Here is a 22,362-nt window from a genome sequence, read left to right as displayed (position 1 = left end):
ATGAGAACATATAGATGCAAAGCATTTGACTTACTACTCTGCATATAATATACTCTCAGTAAATAAATGCTACATTGTTATTATTCATGCATTCTTACAACATTTTTATTGAGCAATAACTACAGACAAAGTGTCTGCCAGAGGCTAAAAATATAAATATGCAGGAAACATAACTCCTGTTCTAAGACGTCTTCAGTGTACTGTGGAAGATATTAGTTAAAATTTATAAAAAACAATTACATTTTACTAATTGACAGGAGCTTTAAAAATTAAGGAATGCATCTGTATTATGAAGGGTAGTAGTTGTGTACTCCCAGTAGTTTTTAACAAGAAGTTCTTGTCATCTTCCAGAAGCAACAGCTGTTCTTGAGTAATAACTGTGGGCCTGGTGGTAGGCTGGCTGGGTGCCAGCTATACTCCACAGAGCAAAGTCACCCTTCCATGGAAAGACTGCCTCCAAAGAATGAGGAAGGACAGATGGCCACAGATTGTTCTGGAACATAACCCCAAGAGTCAGACTGCAAGAGAAGACTGAAGAGAAAATTTGGAGGTTGGGAGGGGCGGATTTGCAGCCAGTGCAGCCAGAACAATGCCTGATTCATGATGCAAAAAGCGAGGCTGTGTTCTTAAGGAGCTAAGTATTTTGCAGCTGGTGCCTTGCTCTGTACTAGGCACTGGGAATAGATGAAGGTGGCATGTCCACCATCAAGGTGCTCAAGGTGGCTTTAGAGACACAACATTTGCACAAATAATTGTTATTCCAGGTGAGGTATGCTCTAATTAAGGTAAAGTAAGTGGAACAAACTAACCTCTTGAGAGTTGTAAAAGGGTTGTCAGAGTCAAGAAAATAACAACTTACGTTTACCTTATAGGATGGATTCAGGATGCAGAAAATTGGGATGGCTGGTGTTTGGCAGTTTTAGGGCTGCGTGGGGGTTCTGCAGAAAAGAAAAGATATTCTAGGAGACAACAGAGACTGCACGGTGGCAAGAATAGAAAATCCAGGATATATGAAACCCTTTTCCAGACTGGGAGGGCTTTGAGGACAGGACCCCGTCATGTCCATTTTCTCACTGCTATCCACCAGATCCACAGGTCATCAGTAAGTGTCAGTGCAGTAAATGAAGGAAAAATGTAGGGACTTGTCCAGTTATGAACACCGTAATTGCCCTGCTGAGGAGTTTGCACTTTATCCTGGAGGTAATGAGAAACCAACAAAGAATTTTAAGATGAGAAATGACGCCATCCAAATTTGCATTTCAGAAATGTCACTCTGGCCTCAATAGGGCATAGCTGGGTTGGCAGAGATCAGGGAGGCAAAACCAGAGGCTGGAAGACTAATTAGGAGATGTTTTCAGACTTCCCGATGCCACATTCAGGAGGCTGAAATGAAGAGAGTGGCAGGAAGGATGAAGGAGGGGAATGTGATCAGCATTGCTCTCAGAAGTGAACCTTGACACCCACTCAGTCCTCAGATCTCAACTCATGTAGGAACATTACTCTCATTCATTCCAAGAACATAATTAGAGGTCTTAGAAGGAAGCATTGGGTTTCCTGAGCACATCTGATTCAGTCACATGATCACATCATGGGCAAGCAGTGAAGGTGGAGTGACAGGGGAAAAATAAAAAAAATAAAATATTGGGGTTTACAGCAGCATATCTGAGTTCTACTCCCATCTCCTCCACTTAGTAGCAACCCAAGTTTGGCCAAGTCCCTTATCCTATTTCTTACAATAGTTGGATTAAGTGAGAGTAGTAATGTCAGCATCATGGTATTATGGGAATTTGCTGAAGAAAATATATGTGAGAGTCTCTTTAAAATCTTTGAAAAGCCATGCAAACAGCAGGTTTTAATTATGCAGAGACACTAGGCAGAGTTGATATAGTTTCCAAGTGAAAACAATTTTTTAAAGGCTGCCCTGTTTTTCAGATCAGCAGCTGGATGAGGGAGTATTCTCTTTGTCCTCAGGATTTCTGAATTCTCTCTCCGTCTTCTTCCACGGGACAGTTTTATTTCTAGAGAAAGCTCTCCCCCAGCATGGTGCATTGAAAGGGAATTAAATCAGAAGACTAACAGCTGACTTCTCCATGTCGGTACTGACTGGGTTCTTTCTGGAAAGAAGATTACACCCTGACGATTACAGCCTATGAGCACACCACCTATAAAATACCCCAGGACAAAAATCTGTCTAGTGACTCTTCCTTCCACGTGTGACCCTACCTCCCTTCGCACATGCTTTATTTCAATTAACATTTCACAATCCCTCTGTCCTCATTTTTTCCAAACTATCCAAGCACGGACTCTCTCTTATCTTAGTAGCTCAGAGAGCACCAGAGGCCCCAATGAAGTCAGTAGAAATATGTCCTTGATTAGCAGGAATGACAAATGATGGGGAGGGTGGTGGACAGAGTTTAGATGCAGCAAGTGTTTTCAACTCTACTGAAAATGGAAAGGCTTTGTCCAGAGTTTTGTGTTTTGGTTTAATCATAAATAGATGCTACAGAGTCATGACATAACATAGACAATTCCCTGTTATCAAGAGAAGTGGGAGCCAGAGACTCAGTGTCACAGAAACGTATTGTTTGGGTGAAACTTGAAGGTCACTCAGTACAACTGCTTAGGAAGTACCTTCTTTTAATACACATTTATAGAAACATCCCATTAAGTTTCAGATACTTCACTAAGTGCTAGGCACATAATAATGAAGGCATGGTCCCCAGTATCCAAGGGGGAGGGAAGAGATTAGTTCATTCACTTTTTCATTCATTTATTCATTCAATATATATTCATTTGGCATTTACTATGTGACTGGCACGGTGCCAGATGATAGAGATACCATAATAAAGTGTGGACCCCTTTTGCTCATGGCTCCACAGACAAATGACGAAGACATTTTAAAATATTCATGCAAATACGTACACCTCTGAAATGACAAGCTGTGGTAAATCTATGATGGAAACAAGGCCCTCACCTAGTCTTAAGGATCAAGAAAGGCTTTCTTAGGAAGTGACATTTGGCCTAAGACATGAAGAATGAGTGAAAATCAGTTGTCCAAGAGATTATGGGTCAGGAAAGATATTCCAGGCAGAGGGAACAGACTGGATAAAGATTCTGGAGTCAGAAAGAGACGAAAGGAGGCCAGTGTGACTGAGATTCAGGGAGGAATAAGAACAGCAGAGAAAGAGAAGCCTGAAGAAAGCTTCGAAGCCCTGCCAAGAATGTTGCTCTTTATGTCAAGATCAGTGGGAAACCATAACGGTGGTAAGGGCTTGGGAAATGATATTTAGAGTTTGAGAGGATTACTTTGTTAGCAGCATAAAGAAAAGATCAGAAGGGGCAAGAGTGGAAGTAGTCAGACAGATGTGGGTGGGTTAATGTGGTTCAAATCAGAGAGGACAATGCCTTGTGCTAGAGTAGAGACCAAGGATACTGACAGAAGTGACCAAACTGTGGAGAATAAATAGAGTATGACACGATAGGTGCTACGTGAAGGTGAGCAACAATGCTCAAATTGCGCCCAGCTGGAGGAGGGGAGGTTTAGAGATGAGGAAGACAAACTCAGGGAGCAGAAATGTGCGTGGACCACCCAGCCAGCGGGTAGAAAAGGTCAGCTGCAGCCCTGTTCATTGCCTCCTCACCCTCTGAGACATCAGATAGGACGCAAGCCCTGGCTCTTAACTCTTGGTATCTTTTACATTTTGCTTACTTAGGGGTTGTTCTTTCCTTATTTTTCCCCCTATAATGATGATTTCTGCTCTTTTTTGAAAATGGCAGCCTGTTCAACAGTGTCCAAAGTCTTCTTCCTGTGACTGGAGATGGATTCATGGACAGAAAACCCCTGAGTGCCTTTTGACAGTCATCTAAACATAATAATTATAATAGCTACTGTTTCCGGAATGCCCTGTGGACATGGGGCTTTTTGCTTAGTGTGATGGTTAATTTTACATGTCAACTTGACTGGGCCACAACGTGCATAGATATTTGATCAAACATTATTCTGGGCATTTCTGTGAGGGTGTTTTGGATAAAACTAACATTTAAATCAAACTGCTAAGTGAAACCGATATTCCTCTCCAATGTGGGTGGGCCTTGTCCAATCAGTTGAAGTCCCGAATAGAACAAAGAGACTGACCCATCCCCAAGTAATAGCGGAATCTCCCTGCCTGACTGTCTTTGAACTGGGACAATTGGCTTTTTTTTTTCTTGCCTTCAGACTTGAACTTAACATTGGCTCTTCCTGGGACTTGATTCTGATAAGCTCCCCTGGGTCTCCAGCTTGCTGACTTACCTTACACATTTTGGGACTTGCCAGACTCCATATGTGCATGAGCCTGTTCCTTATAGTAAATCTCTCTTCTCTCTCTCTTTACATATATTCCATTAGTTTAGTTTCTCTAGAGTATTTCAGTGTTTTGCATCCTTATAACAACTCTGTATGGTAGGTATTAGGTTGGTGTAAAAATAATTGAGGCTTTTGGCATCGAAAGTAATGGCAAGAAACCGTAATTACTTTTGCACCAACTTAATATTATTGTTCCTATTTCACAGCTGAGGAGGTGAAGGCCAAGATGAGTTAAGTCACTTTTTTTTTTTTTTTTTGGTCACATGAATCATACTTGACAGAATCATAATGAATGTCTTAGTCTAACTCCAAGCTCTCCACTTGTGATATGATGTACTGACTCTTCAAAAGAAGGAAGACTAACAAGGTCATGAAAACCAAGGAGAGACTGAGAAACCTCTACAGACTACAGGAGAATGGAGAAACATGACAACTAAATGTAATATGGCACCCTGGATTGGATCCTTGGACAGAGAGATGACGTTAAAGAAAAAATTCATATAAAGCGTGGAGTTTAGTTCAGAGCGATGTACCAATGTCAATTTCTTAGTTTGAACAAGTGTGTCATGGTGAGGTAAAATATTTATAGTGGGGGAAACTAGGTGAGGGGTATCAGGGAACACTCAGCAATGTCGGCAAATTGTTTTGTAATTGTTAAACTCTCCTAAAATAAAAATGTTATGATAAAAAGGAGGCTATGTTGGAAAAGGAGAATAGTTCATGAGGTACTGTTCATCTAGGAAGTTTATTTGTGTCTATAAAAAATACATTTTTATGTTTATGTGCATTATTTTAAATATAAAATATGCGGTATATGCATATAAAATATGCCATATATGCATATAAAATATGCTGCATATGCAGCGTTTCTTTTGAAAGACTGAATTATTTAATTTTACAGATTAGGAAAGGGAGACACATTTCTGACACGCATAACAGAATTGCCATATCCGAGCCAACATTTAAAAGCATGACTGTACCAATACCACCACAGAGCCGTGTTCTTTTTTTTTCTGATGAGGGGCTATGCTTTGCTATGTTGTGGAATGCAAAGACCATGTGTTTCTCTATATCACTTCATTTATCAAGGTTCAATTCGGAGTTCTCAATTTCCATGAAGCTTTTTCCAATTACTTTATTCAATGTTGAACTTATTTTTTTGTGGCTTCTGTGACTTTTATGGTCTCTGTTGGAATCAAGGGAACCCAATAATTAGTGCTTCTAATGTCAAATTAAGGACATTAAGACAAGAGAGTTAAGCAGATATAAGTCTAAAATATCACCTTTGGAGAATGGGCCTGTTATTTGTGAGCAAGTGAACATACAAACTCTGCGCTTTAGGATTAAATTTACCCAGACCAGCCTACTCATAGGCAATGGTGGGTAAAAACCACAGGATGGAGGTGCATGATAAGGCTCTCCATGGGCAGGTAGCATCCTGAAGAGAAAAAGACTACTGGCCTGGGCTACACTTGCCCAGTTTTTCCTTCCAAGCTCACCAATCAGATGTAAGAAGGTAGAGAGAGCCAGAAGCATTATTTCACCTGGTCTCCCTGAAAATGGAAATAAATGGGGAGAAACATCTCTCTCCAGAAGTCTCAAATACACATTTTGAACATTCTGTAAGTGACCCCGTCTTCCCTCCAATGTTAGTCACATGTACACAAATTGTTTCCCAACATAGATCATAAGCTACTGGAAGGTAGAGATTATTAATTGCCCACTGTACCTGGCTTGGTACCTGACTGGCAGACAGATTTACATAATAGAAAGCACTGGGCTCTGGAGTCAGACTCAAGGGTTTGAATCTGATCTTTGCCATTTATTACATTTGTGATCTTGGTTGACTTAATCTCTCTAAACTCAGGTTACTTGCCTGTCAAATAAGTATATCTTTTTTTCTGAACTGCTTTGAACATCAATTGAAACCATCTCTATTAAATGTCTGGAACATAGCAAGTGCTAATCAAGTGCTATTCCCTTTTGCTCTTACTAATCCATGTCAATAAACACTAACTTTTAGGGATTTCCTTTTTAAAAGAGCTAAGCCTCAAAGTTTCCTCATTTATGTAAAAACTAATAATAGATATAAGAGTCATCAAACCAATTAAAAAGAGGAATGTGTAAAGTGCCTAGCTAAGTGCCTGGCACATCAATAGAGAGCAAAAATAGTCCATGTAGAAATACTGGTTAGATACTCAGCTTTCATTTTGCCCTTACTGTTCTAGTTATTACTATAGAGAAATAGAAGAGAAAGCTGTCTTCCCAGAAGAGCTTAATGTCTGTAGTCCTTAACATTTGGTTAATCCAAAGAAGTATGAATGAGTTTGCCTGTAAGGTACAGATTACATGTCTTTTTAATCAGATCTGTTTCTTAATGTCCTAATGGGTAGACTATCTGGAATCATTAATGTCTGCAATGTACTTTATGTTCATGTTAGCAGAGGTCAAATTTGAGTGCATTTTTAACAAACCCAATCAGCAAATATAATCATGTCCACTCTAGAAATGGCCAAGCCATTATCCTGTTAGGAAACCATAAAATAGAATGTCATGCTTCACAGAGTTAGACTGTAGAAATTTGGGTTGCTGTCTCTTTAGTGAAAGGATTGTTTATTTAAGTTCATGACTAGCATTGAAACATTCTGTCATCAAAACATGTAGCAAAAAAGTTATCTCAACTTGTGGAGCAAATGAAATATAAATTCAGACCCATACTTTTATACATTTTTGGAGGATGTGGGGAACCCATAATGGTAAAGACCTGTTCCTTGAAGAGAAAATATCTGAAAGGGAAGAGGAATTTCTCATGAGAGAGTTTAGGCTGGTGATAGCTTTTCCAAATACCCTATGGCAAAGGCTGGTGATGTGTTTTACAGCAGCGGCTCTTTAGGAGATAAAGATGATTTCTACTGAGTGACTGTTTTTGTTTCCTGAATCCCACAAAGAATATTTATATCACTTCAAGATGTGAAAGCCAGGATGGGAGATAAAACTAAAGTATCTAAAACATGTTGATGATTTAAGGGAGAATATGTTGGGCTCTGAAGTTAGAATTTACCAGAAAATATTGGTTATAAAACAATCCCACTGGACATATCCAATTAACAATATTGACAATACAGACAGAAATCCCCAATCACAATTCAAATTATAAGTGGCTCTAAAAACTGTTAAATCTTTTTGCAATTCCATGCAGATTCGTTTGATGACTAAGTCTGACCTGAATTCACTTGAGACTATTTTGACTCTTAGCCTTGTTTGAGGTGTATCTTCATGCATTTCACTGCAGAGGAGTTAATATGTTTGGTTACAGAGAGCTACTCAAGACCCTTCTTAGATAGTTAACACACACACACATACACACACACGCACACACACACACACCTCATCTACATATGATATGTAAATTATATTACCTGATATGGTTTGGCTATATCCCCATCCAAATCTCATCTTGATTTTTAGTTCCCATAATCCCCACGTGTCATGAGAGTGACCTAGTGGGAGGTAATTGAATCATGGGGGTGGTTGCCCCTATGCTGCTGTTCTCATGATAGTGAATAAGGTCTCATGATAGCTGGTGGTTTTATAAGGGGCTGTTCCCCGTTTTGCTGTGCGCTTCTTGCTGCCAACATGTGAAGAAAGACGTGTTTGCTTCCCCTTCCACCATGATTGTAAGTTTCCTGAGTCCTCTCCAGCACAGTGGAACTGTGAGTCAATTAAACCTCTTTCCTTTATAAATTACCCAGTCTTAGGTATGTCCTTATAGCAGCATGAGAACAGACTAATACATTATCTTTCTGAAAATCTAAGACCTCTGAATTCAAAATAAAGCTATCTCTATGAACTTCAGTTAAGGAGTTGAGGGCTGAAACAACATCTGTTCAAAGTGCTTATGTGGTACATGTCAAGAAATTGTTGTTATTAATCTTTTGTACATTATTTTGTTTACCACTTGTGGTAATTAGTTATTCAGCCTCAACTGCAGATGTGGGCATCGGAGCTCAGACTACTAAAAAAACTTATCCTAAGAATCAATTCTTAGTTCAAAGTATACGTTCTATACCTGTAACTTTTAATTTGAAAAATGTCATTAAGAGGCACTATATTAAACCTAATTTTAGACATAAATGTATTTCTTTTCTCTTTCCCTGTACTGTTAGTCATTACCTGTATAAGTAAAGATTGTTTTTAGCTGAAGCTACTAAGGGTCTGAATCCAGTAGAGGGTTATTTAAAAACAAAAGCTAGATCCCAAGACTTAGAACTAGAAAGTGGTGTGATGGGAATATGGCTTTCTGGGAAGGGGAGGGGAAGACTCTGATCTGTAGTGTTTGCCAGTTTCTGTGGTGTAAATGCCCTCTCCATGCCAATTTCAAACTGCCAGGTTTTTGGAAGCAGCTCACAAAATTCCTTGAAATTAATGTAACAAGTGGCTCTTAACAAGTCAATATGAGGTCGTTCCAGTCCACTGCTGGAACTAGGTCATTTTTCAAAAGTCTAAGATGACTGCAGGTAGGGCCTTTTTTTTTTTTTTTTTTTTTTTTTTGAGACGGAGTCTCGCTCTGTCACCCAGGCTGGAGTGCAGTGGCGCGATCTAGACTCACTGCAAGCTCCCCTCCCGGGTTCACGCCATTCTCCCACCTCAGCCTCCCAAGTAGCTGGGACTACAGGTGCCCGCCACCAGGCCGGCTAATTTTTTGTATTTTTAGTAGAGACGGGGTTTCACCGTGTTAGTAGGATGGTCTCGATCTCCTGACCTCGTGATCCGCCCGTCTGAGCCTCCCAAAGTGCTGAGATTACAGGCGTGAGCCACCGCGCCCGGCCAGGCCTTTCTCTCTTGAAAGCATCTAGAGTACCCAAGGTAGATTTTGCTTCAGTTCCTGTGTGTCTATGAAAAATTCCTGTGGGGAAATGGAGGCTGCCCTGCAACTCAACAACCATGAAATAGGGACCTACTCTATATCAGGCACTGGGAAAAACACTGAGGTTATAAAAAGAAATCAATTGCATGGTCCTGACTCTTGAGATTCTTTCATTCTTGTAGGTAAAATCAACAAGGAAGGCGATGAGCACAGCAGTGTGAAGGTGAGGCTTTTTGATCAGCATTTGCTTACCTGGTTTCTGCTTGCTCTTTTTCTATTAACCACACAAGATTACTTGGCTTCTCAGGAATTATTCAAATAGACCCGTTTGGAAGCCTAGAACTGTCTAGAACTTGTTTGATGACCAGCAGGGAGATTGTTTTCGGCTTTCATGCTCACTTTTAATTTTCCAGTTTATGTCTTTGGATAGAATTGCATTCCTCTGTATTCCCCCTGGGGCATTAGGATTTAGTAACTCTCCAGGAGAAAAACAGGGAAGCTGCTACCATCAGGCGAGTTCTCTTATTAATAGTATGGGCCCTATAACTTCTGGATGAATTACAATCTCTTCCCTGGCCCCTGGGGAAACTTCGCACATTGTAAGAGCAAGACCAAGAATACTTACACATTGCCCTTCTTTTCCTCCCTTCATTTATTCAGTGAGAGTTTATTTAGTACCTATCATGTGCTAAACACCTAGGCTTTTAAGACACAAAGATAAAGATTACTGTGTCTGCTTCTCAAGGAAGACAAGTAAGTAAATAATTGCAAAAGCAATGAAAAGTGCCTTAATGGAGATATTGCCCAAGTTAGAGCACAGAAATGTAGTGCTTAGGGGACACTGAAGTCTTCACCAAAAAGACAATACTTAACCCTAGATTTTGAATAAAGAGATGTTGTCCTTCAGATAGACAATAGTAGGTATAGCATAGACAGATAGGACATTCCATGAAGAAGAGCAATGGAGGCACAAAAGCTCAGAGAACTGAGGTCCTGGGTAAACAGACTGGTATAAGAACTGGAAAACAATGTTTTATGTTTCAAAAGTCTCTATATTATATACATACTGCTAAGAGCTGATGAATGTTGAACATATTTGTACCTTCAGTGTCTGGCATGCTGCCTGGCATGGAATATTCAATCATTATTGAATAGAATAAATGATTATGAAAAGTAGAAATGTAGTTCTGTGTTCCAACAAATTGAGGAAACTGTGAAAGGTAAATAGATTATGTAAAATCAGCCAGTCTCAGACAGAAACACTGGATACTTCTGATAGGAAGCAGTATTCGATTATGAGATAACTGTGTGCCTGGAGTCTGAAAATTATAGTTTAGATTCTCACACTCTTTATTTGAGCAGAAATTGTTCTGTTTCTTGGGAAGATCTGATGAATTTATAGAAAACTTTGTGATCTTCTTGGAAAAAGAAAACAAATCTAAATAACAAAAAATTATTATGCTAATGTGTGCTAATTTTGGAAAAGTGACTGAAACTTGGATAAAAATACATAAGAGTTTCCTGGGATAATCCAGTTTATGGCTGTTATCTGTTCTGGCATAAGCATTAGTATTACCACAATTCTCTCTCAGAAATGTCACCTTTGGATTAAATTTCTTGCTGAAATTCCAATTAATGGAACATTTTTAAAAATTCAGTATGCACAGATAAAGGTAGAAGGATGCTTTTTGGAGTGTTGCTTGTAATACTGAAAACAAGAAATGACAAATGTTCAACAATGAAGAATTAGCTAAATTAATAATGGACATCCTTATATGTGAATGTTGGATCATCATTTAAAATAATGGTTTAAGGCTGGGCGCGGTGGCTTACGCCTATAATCCCAGCACTTTGGGAAGCCACGGCGGGTGGATCACTTGAGCTCAGGAGTTTTGAGACCAGCCTGGCCAACATGGTGAAACTCCCACTCTACTAAAAATACAAAACTGAGCCATGTGTGATGGTGCAAGCTTGTAACCCAGCTTCTTGGGAAGCTGAAGCAGGAGAATCGCTTGAGCCCAGGAGGCACAGGTTGCAGTGAGCCAAGATGGTGCCACTGCACTCCAGCCTGGGCGACAAAGCGAGACCCTGTCTCAAAAAACTAAAATAAAATAATATAAAATAGTGATTTAGATCTATATATACCTACAGGGAAAGACACACATTATATTTTGTTAAACAGCAAGAAAGACAGGTTTCATGATAATATGTTTTATTATTATTTCATTCTTCTAAAAGAGAGCGAGGGTCAGGGAGAGGGAGGTGAAGAGAGAAATGGGGATGGGGAAGAGAGAGAGTGAGACTTGTGGACAGTCACAGCTATGTTTAAATCTTCGTTCTTCCCTTTAAATGCTGAAGAGATCAGCCCAGGTTATTTAGTGTTTCTGATCAGCAGTTTCCTTGGCTGTTAAATAAGGTAACAATAATAGTTATCTCCTGATGCTGTTATAATGAAATGCCGCATTTGTTACATTTTGGCCCAGTGTGGCTCTCAGCTAGGGTGATTTTAGTCCCCAGGGGACACTTGGCATGTCTAGAGATATTTTTTGGTTGTTACAGCTGGAGGTGAGAGGTGGTGATGCTATTGGCATTTAGTGGGTAGAAATCAGGAATCCTCTTACATGTCCTACCGTACACAGAACAGCTACCCCACCAAAGAATTGTCTGGTCAAAAATATCACTGGTGCTGAGGTTGGAAAACTGATTTAGGCATTAATAAGCACTTGATAAATGTATGTGGTTGCTCTTATTTATCGACAAGCTGATAATGAAGATCTTAGATGATGGGATTCTGTATGTGTGTTTTCATTGGGCTTAACTTTATTTTGTATTATTGTCTGTGATTAATATGGATTAGTTGACTATGAAAAAAATAAAAGTAACATTTTCAACATCAATATTATAAACAACAACAACAACGGGTAATATTACTCCTGCAAGCCCCATGAAGTAAGAGATCAAATCCCATCTACAAAAGGCAGGACCTAGCACATAATAGGTGTTTGACAGAGCCTACTGAATTGAATTGAAATGCACAAACACATGCCAATAAAGACAGAGGAAGCTAGCTTGTATTACTAGCCGGATTTTTGTTAGTGAGTTAAAAAAGTGAATAGACTAATTTGCAATCAGTACATTATAAATACGTAACTTTTGTTGCAAACATCCTATCTGGAAATATTTGTCAGAGAAACATTTGTTTTCTATGACAGGCTCTAGCCCATTGCCACACCCATGTACCAAACCATCACATATGTAATTTTTAAAGATTATAAAAGTTACAATGACTCCAAAAATAAACATCTTGAAGGTATAGTGGTTTTTTTTGTACTTATATCCCCTTATTCTGCAGTTTGTATTACTGTCTCTGGTTCAGTGCTACTTAATTTCCTTTTTGAATTGTCAGTCCCAGAATATCAAAAAAGAGACTGTTTGTCCTTATCCTGGAGAGACCTTGAGAAAAAGTGTTAACTTGTGAAAAGTTTTGTGAGATTAGGCAATGCCTCTAAAGCCCCAGGTGCTTATCTGAAAAAAATGGGGGATTATAACACTTACACTATATGGTTGTTCAGACAATCAAAAGAGACAATATTATCTCAAATGCAATACACACCACTGGTACTCAGCGAGGTGTAGTAATTTTTATTCACTATCTTTCAAAAAGATGATCACTTTGTAAAATGCTCCAGTTTCACTCAGAATCAAGTTTTCTTTTAGTCTTGTTGTGGGAAGCAATAGTGAATATGTGCATGATTTGATTTACTGAGAGGCACTATGGTATCACGGCAAGAGCTTTGAGTCTACAGCCACCAAATAGCAAAGCCAAATTTTATCAGCGTTATCAACCGGTGTTTCTCATATTTTTATATCCATGACATCGTTTAAAAGCAGAAAATACTGTCACAGCCAACTAGTGTTAGTTGAAATTTGAAAACAATTTAAATGCTACAGCCAAGTTGGTGTTGTGTTGTAACTCCTCTATAAGCTCTTATCTTTCCAAATTGCCCATAATCCTCCCTAATCCTACCTCAGACATGTTTTTTGTGTTTCTCCTCATGCATCATTGAGAAACACACTTTAAATACTGCCAGAATGCTTAGGTGGTCCCAAGGAATTTTTTTTTTTTTACCCAGTTTCACAAGGTCAATCAAACTCATGGCTCCGTAATTGAATAATCAATCAAATCAAAAACAATTGATCTACTCCAGGCATGTCAGCAACATATTGATTTACCCATTGAGCTCTGTTCAAATATAATGAAGGTGATGAAAACCATCATTGCATTGAGAAATGGTCAAATAAAGGACCCTGTGCAGCCATTTTCTCTCTCTCCTCCTTAATTATTGCTGTTCTTTTATAAATTGATTTTAGGGTTGTTAATACATAAATCTATATATACTTTGGCATAGTGGGAAAAAGTTGGTTCAAAACTTCCTTTGGGCCACTTGTCTGTGTGAGCACAAACATGTTTCTTCATCACTAGTGTTTTTATCCATAAAACACAAATCATATGAAGTCTCTTCAATGAGAGGCTAAAATGTGATCATGTGGGAACAACTGCGAGGCAATAGTTAATAGAAGTTTGGGGATCAAATGACATTGACATGAATTCTAACTGTAATTTTCTAGCTGTGAAACCTTAGGCAATTGACTCAACTTGCTTGTATCTTAGTTTCCTTACCTGTAAAATTGCTATGGAAACAGTAGCTATCTCACAGGGCCTTTATGCATGAGAGTTAGTGATATGGTTAGGCTTTGTATCCCCATCCAAATCTCATCTTGAATTGTAATCCCTATAATCCTCACATGTCAAGGGAGAGACCAGGTGGCAGCAATTCATTGATGGAGCAGTTTCCACCATGCTGTTCTCATAATAGTGAGCGAGTTCTCAGGAGTTCTTATAGTTTTATAACGGGTGCTTCCTGCTTCACTCAGCACTTTTCCTTCCTGTCGCCTTGTGAAGAAGTAAGTGCCTTGCTTCCCCTTCACCTTCTGCCATGATTCTAAGTTTCCTGAGGCCTCCCCAGTCATGCTGAACCGTGACTCAATTAAACCTCTTTCCTTTATAAATTACCCAGTCTTGGGCAGTTCATTATGGCAGTATGAAAATAAACTAACACAGTCAGGTTGAAAACCAACAGAGCATTTACTTTGAAAGCACTCAGTAAAAATTAGCTTTACTATTCTTGTTTTTTGAAATGCCGTTCATTAGCTATTTCTGCCTATGTTTCCCAGACTTATAGTTTCCATTTTATTTCACAAATGCTGAGCTTTCATGCTGTATGAGATGGTCACTGCTGGTTGTCCACCAAAATCCAATGTCCAAGCCTCCCTCAGTTATAAAACTCCCCAGCATTAGCTGGGCTTATGGTTTCCAAATTATAGACCTCATTTCTAAGTCTTCCCTGAAAAGATAGATCTGGTCATTTGGGTAAGTGCTACCCAATAGATTGTAAGATTTGCTACAAGTAACTCCCAAGAAATATCTATAAGGAAAGGAAGTATTTTTTTTTCTGTCTCCTTTCTCCTTTAGGTAAGATATAATGTAAATATTTTTAATAGAATTGAATGATAAACTTGAAAATAAAGTTGAACAGCTTAAAACATAAGTTGGAAGATGGGAGTAGAGGATGGTAGAGCAGAAAGATATAAGGATTCTGGGACTGTGAAGTCACCAAGGCAGTTGTGGATCATCTAACAGGGTTTATATGCAAGAACAAGGAAAATACTCAGGTCTTGTTGAAGTCACCATTAATTGAAGATGAGGAAAATTCACATAATCATATTAATAGTTATCATCTTGGCACCATGGAATCAAGTGATTTCCACAGTACTGGCTAAGAGATGCCCTTGGATAATAAATAGCCCAGGATGATAATCTATTTGCACGGGTACAAGACTATCCTTATCCCTTTTTATTTAATTACAACCAATAACTGAATAAGTAGATGAATATTAGAAAAAATATATGAATGAACTCACGGCCCTCCAATCCCATCTATTTCAGAACAATACAATTTAACTTTCTCCCAGGAGTTTCTCAGAATTAAGTGTAAATCATGTATATTTTAGCAATAAGGAGTGTTAGAAAAAACACAGGGCTGAGAATTAAGGGAGCTGGATTTTGCCCTGTTCCTTCTTGGGTAAACTATGTGCCTATGAAAATTCACTTTGTATGCACTTTAGTTTATTTCTCTATATGATACACATCATAACATCAACACTTCTGTAGCATAAAAAGTTGTTTATACAGTAATAGGTATGTAAGTATCTTCAAAAGTTAAAATTTAGAAAATTTGTAAGGTATTTCTATAGTTTCACTGAGAGATGATGTTGACTCAGAGGTTCCATGGAAGAGAACTACCTATGGATGTTTCAGAAACCAAAAGGCTGCTGATGTGCCAGTTGGCAGGACATCATACTGGGACTGAGAATATGCATTTATGCACTTGGGTCTGCCATTCACACCTGCCCCCAACCCAATCCCTGCCCTCTGTGAAGAGACACAGCATCCTATTCATCACAGTCTTTGCATGCCGCCAAGAATGTGCTGCTGCTTCCATCCATTGAAACAGGCGGTTGGTTGGCAAAGCCATCAGACACCTGTTGAGGCTGAGTCATCCCTATTCACAGGATGTGCCTCACAGCTTGGGTGGAGCGTGTTCAGTAAAGGATGGGAGGCCTGGCGAGCCCAATCTGGTGCAGCTGATGCTCTCATTCATTGGCAGTTTTGAGGGGAAACCAGAGAGCCACGGTCTAATTTCACTTACTCCTCATCTTCTCTTTGACAGATGGATGTTTGCAGTGGAGTGGTCATGCACATGCATTCAGGCTCAGGAAACTTAGAAAGAACTGTGTTGGGCTTGAAGGACATCAACCATTTCACGGATATTAAAATGAGTGGTGGTGGCATTGACACAGTGCCTGTTTAGATCCCTGACAATTTTTTCTAGCATATGCAGCTTTGTTACCATGGTTTCTTAATTTAAGATCCAGGTGGTTATGTCAATTCCAGAACTGACCAGTGGCTTTGTAGATGAAAATTAGTTCCACAAGTCAAGAAACTCTTGATCCTAGCTGATACTTATGTAATTTGTTAAAGTAATCTATGACTATTGGAGTTTTTACAGGAACCAAATGATCATCTATATTGAAGCTTCTAGAGCAGTCTAAATAATTAACCCTTTCTTTCAGTTGCAGCTCCAGAATTTCTATATAGAAAGGGTTTAGAAGCTGCAACACACATAAAAAGGGAGAGGTAGCATCTTGAAAATGAGTTTCCTATGGGTTTTACAAAATATTGAGAGACATGCATTTCTAAGGATGCTGAGCAGGTGATGGCCACCCAGATCCTTACTTTACAACTGGAGCTACTTTTCTCTCTTTGCATATTGAATTATCTAAAACACAGAAACAGAAATAATATAGGAAAAAATAGCCTTGTTACTAAGTAAGACTAGAGTATTTTGGAACTGGGTTCAAAATAAACCTTTCTTCTGCTTTTCTGCTGAATTAAACTCACCAGCCCAGTCACAGGCACAGTAGTAACACTACAGGGTTTTTCTGATGAAACTGATGTCTACATTGGTCTACAATGTAGTCTACACTGGTCAGCTTAGCTTATGGAGGAGAGTGTCTTGTCTGCAGGCAACCAGATCCCATAAAAGAGAGCCAAGAGAAGTCATAAAGTGACTGTTTTTAAAATCTCTAATTTCTCTTTTGGAGGAAAATTCATCAGAGGTAAAGAGAAGAGCAGAAAATATCAACTCAGTATTTGCAAAAGGGTAGAAGCTCCTATTTTATAGGCCAGCAGTACTGTTGGGAAAGAAAATACACAACTCCTTACAGTGACCAGGCTTAAACAAAATGGCTGGGGTGAGATAGGAGAGTAGGAAAAGCCCTGGATTTGGAGCCAGATGCAACTAAGTTTGAATCCTGGGTCAACTGTTTACCAGATATAGACAAATCTCTTCATCTGTGAATGCCTCAGTTTTCTTTCCAACAGAATGAGGGTGCTGAGACTCCAAGGTTTCCTGCAGAGCAATAGACTGAGAGGTTGTGTGGATGAGAGTCTTGGCTCTGGAACCAGAAGGACCTCCTTTTTTTTTTTTTTTTTTTTTTTTTTGAGACAGGGTCTCACTCTGTTGCCCAGGTTGGAGTGCAGTAATGCTATCTTGGCTCACTGCAACCTCCATCTCCAGGGCTCAAGCAATCCTCCTGCCTTAGCCTCCCAAGTAGCTGGGACTACAGGCACCTGCCACCATGTCTGGCTAATTTTTGTATTTTTGTAGAAGTGGGATTTCCCCTGAACTCCTGGGTTCAAGCAATCCATCTGCCTGCCTAGGCCTCCCAAAGTGCTGGGATTACAGGTGTGAGCCCCCACACCTGGCCAGTACCTACATTTGTTTAGTAATGGCTCTAATGTTCACCAAAAGTCAGGTTTTGCATTTGCAAAATAGGGTTGATATCTATTTTACAGGTGAATTTGGGGTAGCTACTGAGAGACTACACATGAAGAATTTTGTATGATAAGCACTAAGTAAATTTCATTTTAAAAGACCCAAAGAATTGCTGTTAAATTTTATTAAATAATTGTCAAATTATGAAATTTAGTGTATTTATCTATTAGGGCAAATGCTAAAACAAGACAAATTAGGGTTTGCTTATCTAATAATTTCTAGGGCTTTAAGTATAGCAGGGGCTATTTTCACCTATCATTTCCAACATTTATCCTTCAAAGTAATGTTGGGTCTTCCAAATCTGAAGATAAACTGAATTATGTTATAAAATATCTGTGCATGGCATACAACCAAAAGCTGCATCCAGGTCAGAAAGAATAATGATAGTAGATCAGATAGGAGTAATCAAGCTTACTGAGGAATTTTATCTATGTTATTCAATTTATTCCTTTCAAATAGGACTTGAGTTCACAACTATTAATTGAAAGGGGACGTTTGAATAAAGTCCATGATTTTTATGTTTTTAAATAGAACACTCATGAGAAATATAAATGCATAAAACAGTTAGAAGTGGAGATGCTCTTTGGAAGTTTCTGGTTCCCCAACTTCCTCATATTCTCCCTCCTCTAGCAATGACAAGGATGCCCTAAGCTCTATGAAACTGCGAGATAAACATCTACCAGGTTGATATCATATCACTCAAAAGCAAAATTTATTCCTCAGGTGAGTAGATTCATCCAGAAAATCTTAATCCTGAATTTAGTGGAGAAACTCATGATTTGTATAAGATATATAGACCACTTTGTGTAAAAATAAAATGAAGACCTCTCTATATAAAAATGTTTGTTCAGGTATATAGACCAACGGAGCAGAACAGAGGCCTCAGAAATAACAGCACACATCTACAACCATCTGATCTTTGACAAACCTGACAAAAACAAGAAATGGGGAAATGATTCCCTATTTAATAAATGGTGCTGGGAAAACTGGCTAGCCATAGGTAGAAAGCTGAAACTGGATCCCTTCCTTACACCTTATATAAAAATTAATTCAAGATGGATTAAAGACTTAAATGTCAGACCTAAAACCATAAAAGCCCTAGAAGAAAACCTAGGCAATACCATTCAGGACATAGGCATGGGCAAGGACTTCATGATTAAAACACCAAAAGCAATGGCAACAAAAGCCAAAATAGACAAATGGGATCTAATTAAACTAAAGAGCTTTTGCACAGCAAAAGAAACTACCATCAGAGTGAACAGGCAACCTACAGAATGGGAGAAAATTTTTGCAATCTACCCATCTGACAAAGGGCTAATATCCAGAATCTACAAATAACTCAAACAAATTTACAAGAAAAGAAAACAAACAACCCCATGAAAAAGTGGGCAAAGGACATGAACAGACACTTCTCAAAAGAAGACATCTATGCAGCCAACAGACACATGAAAAAATGCTCATTGTCACTGGTCATCAGAGAAATGCAAATCAAAACCACAATGAGATACCATCTCATGCCAGTTAGAATGGCAATCATTAAAAGTCAGGAAACAACAGATGCTGGAGAGGATGTGGAGAAGTAGAAATGCTTTTACACTGTTGGTGGGAGTTTAAATTAGTTCAACCATTGTGGAAGACAGTGTGGCAATTCCTCAGGGATCTAGAACTAGAATTACCATTTGACCCAGCAATCCCATTACTGGGTATATACCCAAAGGATTATAAATCATGCTACTATAAATACACATGCACATGTATGTTTACTGTGGTACTATTCACAATAGCAAAGACTTGGAACCAGCCCAAATGTCCATCAAGGATAGACTGGATTAATAAAATGTGGCACATATACACCATGGAATACTATGCAACTGTAAAAAAGGATAAGTTCCTGTCCTTTGCAGGGACATAGATGAACCTGGAAATCATCATTCTCAGCAAATTATCACAAGGACAGAAAACCAAACACCTCATGTTCTCACTTATAGGTGGGAATTGAATAAGGAGATCACTTGGAAACAGGGTGGGGAACATCACACACGGAGGCCTATCGGGGGTGGGAGTCTGGGGGAGGGATAGCATTAGGAGAAATACCTAATGTAAATGATGAGTTGATGGGTGCAGCACACCAGCATGGCACATGCATACCTATGTATCAGACCTGCACATTGTGCACATGTACCCTAGAACTTAAAGTATAATAATAATTTTTTAAAAAGTAGTTTGTTGTGCCTAACTTGTTAGTCATAATAAAATTAAAGAAAATAAAAAAATGGTATGGAAACTAGAATGATTACTCAAGAAAGTCTATAGGTACCAAATGTATTATATAAAATTAATTTTAAATAAAACCAAAGTCCAAAGTAACCCTGATAAATATAAACTCTATATAGGCAGATTCATGCTTAACACACTTTACAGTTAATAATATATTTAGGATGTCCTAGAATATTTGTTGAATAAGTAGAGAAATCAATGACCCAATGAAGCAATAATTATATGTTAGAATCAATGACATTATTTTCCTCCTTATAAACACGATCTCTTTTAATAAACTTACCTAGCCCTGTAGGTTTAAATATTATCTATATATCAATGATTCCAAAATTGTCATTTGTAGTTCTGATCCCTCCAATGAATGTCTGACATTTGTGTCTAATTGTTCATTCAAAATATTTAAAAAAGTGTCAATATGAATCTCAACACAACCAAAAGAGAGCTGTCTTTCGACGTCCTACCCTCTTCTGCAAGATATTCTTCCATGTATTTGTTCCAGTTATCTATTGATGCATTAAAAAAAACCAAGAGTTGGTGACTTAAGAAAACAATAACTATCCCCAAATCTTTTCACCTCTTTTTAAAAAAACAAATCTGCAATTTGGGAAGAAGTTAGCAGGAAAGGCTTGTGCTTCCCTCATGTAGCCTTAGGTGGACAGCTGAAATAGAGGCTGAATGGTCAGTTTCCAAGGTGGCTCAATCACTTGGTTGGTAAGTTGGTGCTGGCTCTGAAGCTCACCTGGGGCTGAGGGCCACGGATCTCCATTCTTCTCCAAATGAGTATCTCCATGTTGTCTAGGTCTCTTCACAGCGTGGCGCCTGGGTTCCAAGGGGAATCATCCCAAGAGAGAACCAGGGAGAAACTGTATCCACCTGCAAGATCTAACATCAGAAGTCATATAGAACACCATTCCCTACTCTTAGCTAAGGAAGTCACAGAGATCTGACTCCCTTCCTTCAAGGGAGGGAACCATAGACTCTACTTGTGGGACTGGCTGGGTTCTGATAGAATATGGACATATGACTTCAGCCATTTTTGGAAATTATACTGTGCCACACCTTAACGTGTCAGAAGACGAGGACACTGTCATAACTTTCAGTCAATTGCTCAAACCAAATATCAAAGTATTATCCTGAATATGCCTCCTTTTATTTTACACTCACGTCTGTTTAATCAGAAAATCCCATCAACTCAAAACATACCACAAACATGTGTTTTTCTTCCTCATGTTTAGGACAACCATCCTCATCCTGGGTGACATCCTCTCTCTCCTAGTTGGCTTCAGGAACCTCCTAATTGATTACCATCTTCTCTGTTCTTTTGTCCCTACACTCCATTCTCCATATGACAATTAGGATAATCATTTTAAAGCATAACTCAGATGATAGCCTTCCCTGCTTAACAAAACCTCCAATGACAAAGTGGATCACAGCCTAGTGATAAAGTGGAGTAATTCACCAGAAAGATATAAAAATTCTAAATGTCAATGAATCTAATATCACAAGGACAAAATATGCAAAGCAAAAACTGACAAAATTGATTTGATAATTCCACACTCATAAATGGAGACTTTTTTCATAACCTTCTCAGAAATTGATAGATCAGGCAGAGGAAGAATGTTAATGCCGTGTATCTTAATGGATTACTGGCGGGCTGAGGCACTCCTCCCCTCAGCCCATGGTCTGTCTCTCGCCTTAAGCAGTCTCATCTGAATTATTATGTTTATGCATATTTTATGCATATTGAAAAAGATTGGGAATCACTGCCTCAGACTACCTCTCAAACAATAAGGCATACCAGAATGTTCATTGTGGCAGTGTTTTGTGATAGTAAACATTTTGAAAAAAAAATCAAAATACTGATTTGCAATAGAATGGAAAACAAAATTGTTGCATTACATACAACAAAATCAATATGGATACATCTCACAAATATAATATTGAAGAAAAAAGTTGCAGAAAACATTCAATATGATGTTATATATGTAAATGTTACAAATTTGCCAAACAATATTGTAATTATTCAAGGATGCTTACATGTGCTCTAAAAATATGAAGACAGGAAGAGTAATGAAAGTCATCAAATTCATGTTAGAGGTTATGTCTTGGAAAGATGATGGGAGCAAAAAAGTGATGAAGAGAATATAGTAATGGAATCATGAGGAAAATAAAATAGGTTATTTTTAATATTTCTCTTCTTAAAGGGCAATGGCATATATATTGTTATTAAATTATTTCTTATACATTTTGTACATACGAAAAAATAGAAAAAATCAAAACTGTAGCTCCGAGCTTATAAAAGCACATTCACACGTGTGCACAAAAGACAAACATAACAGACACACACCCCTCTAGTAGCTTCCCACCAGATTCCTTCTTCTGATTAACAAAGCACACATTCTATGACCTCTGCC

At 38.5% G+C, this 22,362-nt stretch overlaps 1 long non-coding RNA gene across 1 annotated transcript; it reads left to right on the top strand.

The window, feature by feature from the left end:
* The first annotated feature begins 7,963 nt into the window (after positions 1-7,963).
* Positions 7,964-21,086, top strand: LINC00976 (long intergenic non-protein coding RNA 976). Its single transcript, NR_145483.1, has 4 exons — positions 7,964-8,022; positions 9,395-9,435; positions 18,302-18,394; positions 20,748-21,086. It is a non-coding gene; the product is annotated as a long intergenic non-protein coding RNA 976 (long non-coding RNA).
* Positions 21,087-22,362: the final 1,276 nt, after the last annotated feature.

This window comes from Homo sapiens, chromosome 8, assembly GCF_000001405.40.
Source record: "Homo sapiens chromosome 8, GRCh38.p14 Primary Assembly".
Lineage (NCBI taxonomy): Eukaryota > Metazoa > Chordata > Mammalia > Primates > Hominidae > Homo > Homo sapiens.
This window is presented reverse-complemented; position numbering and strand designations above follow the sequence as displayed.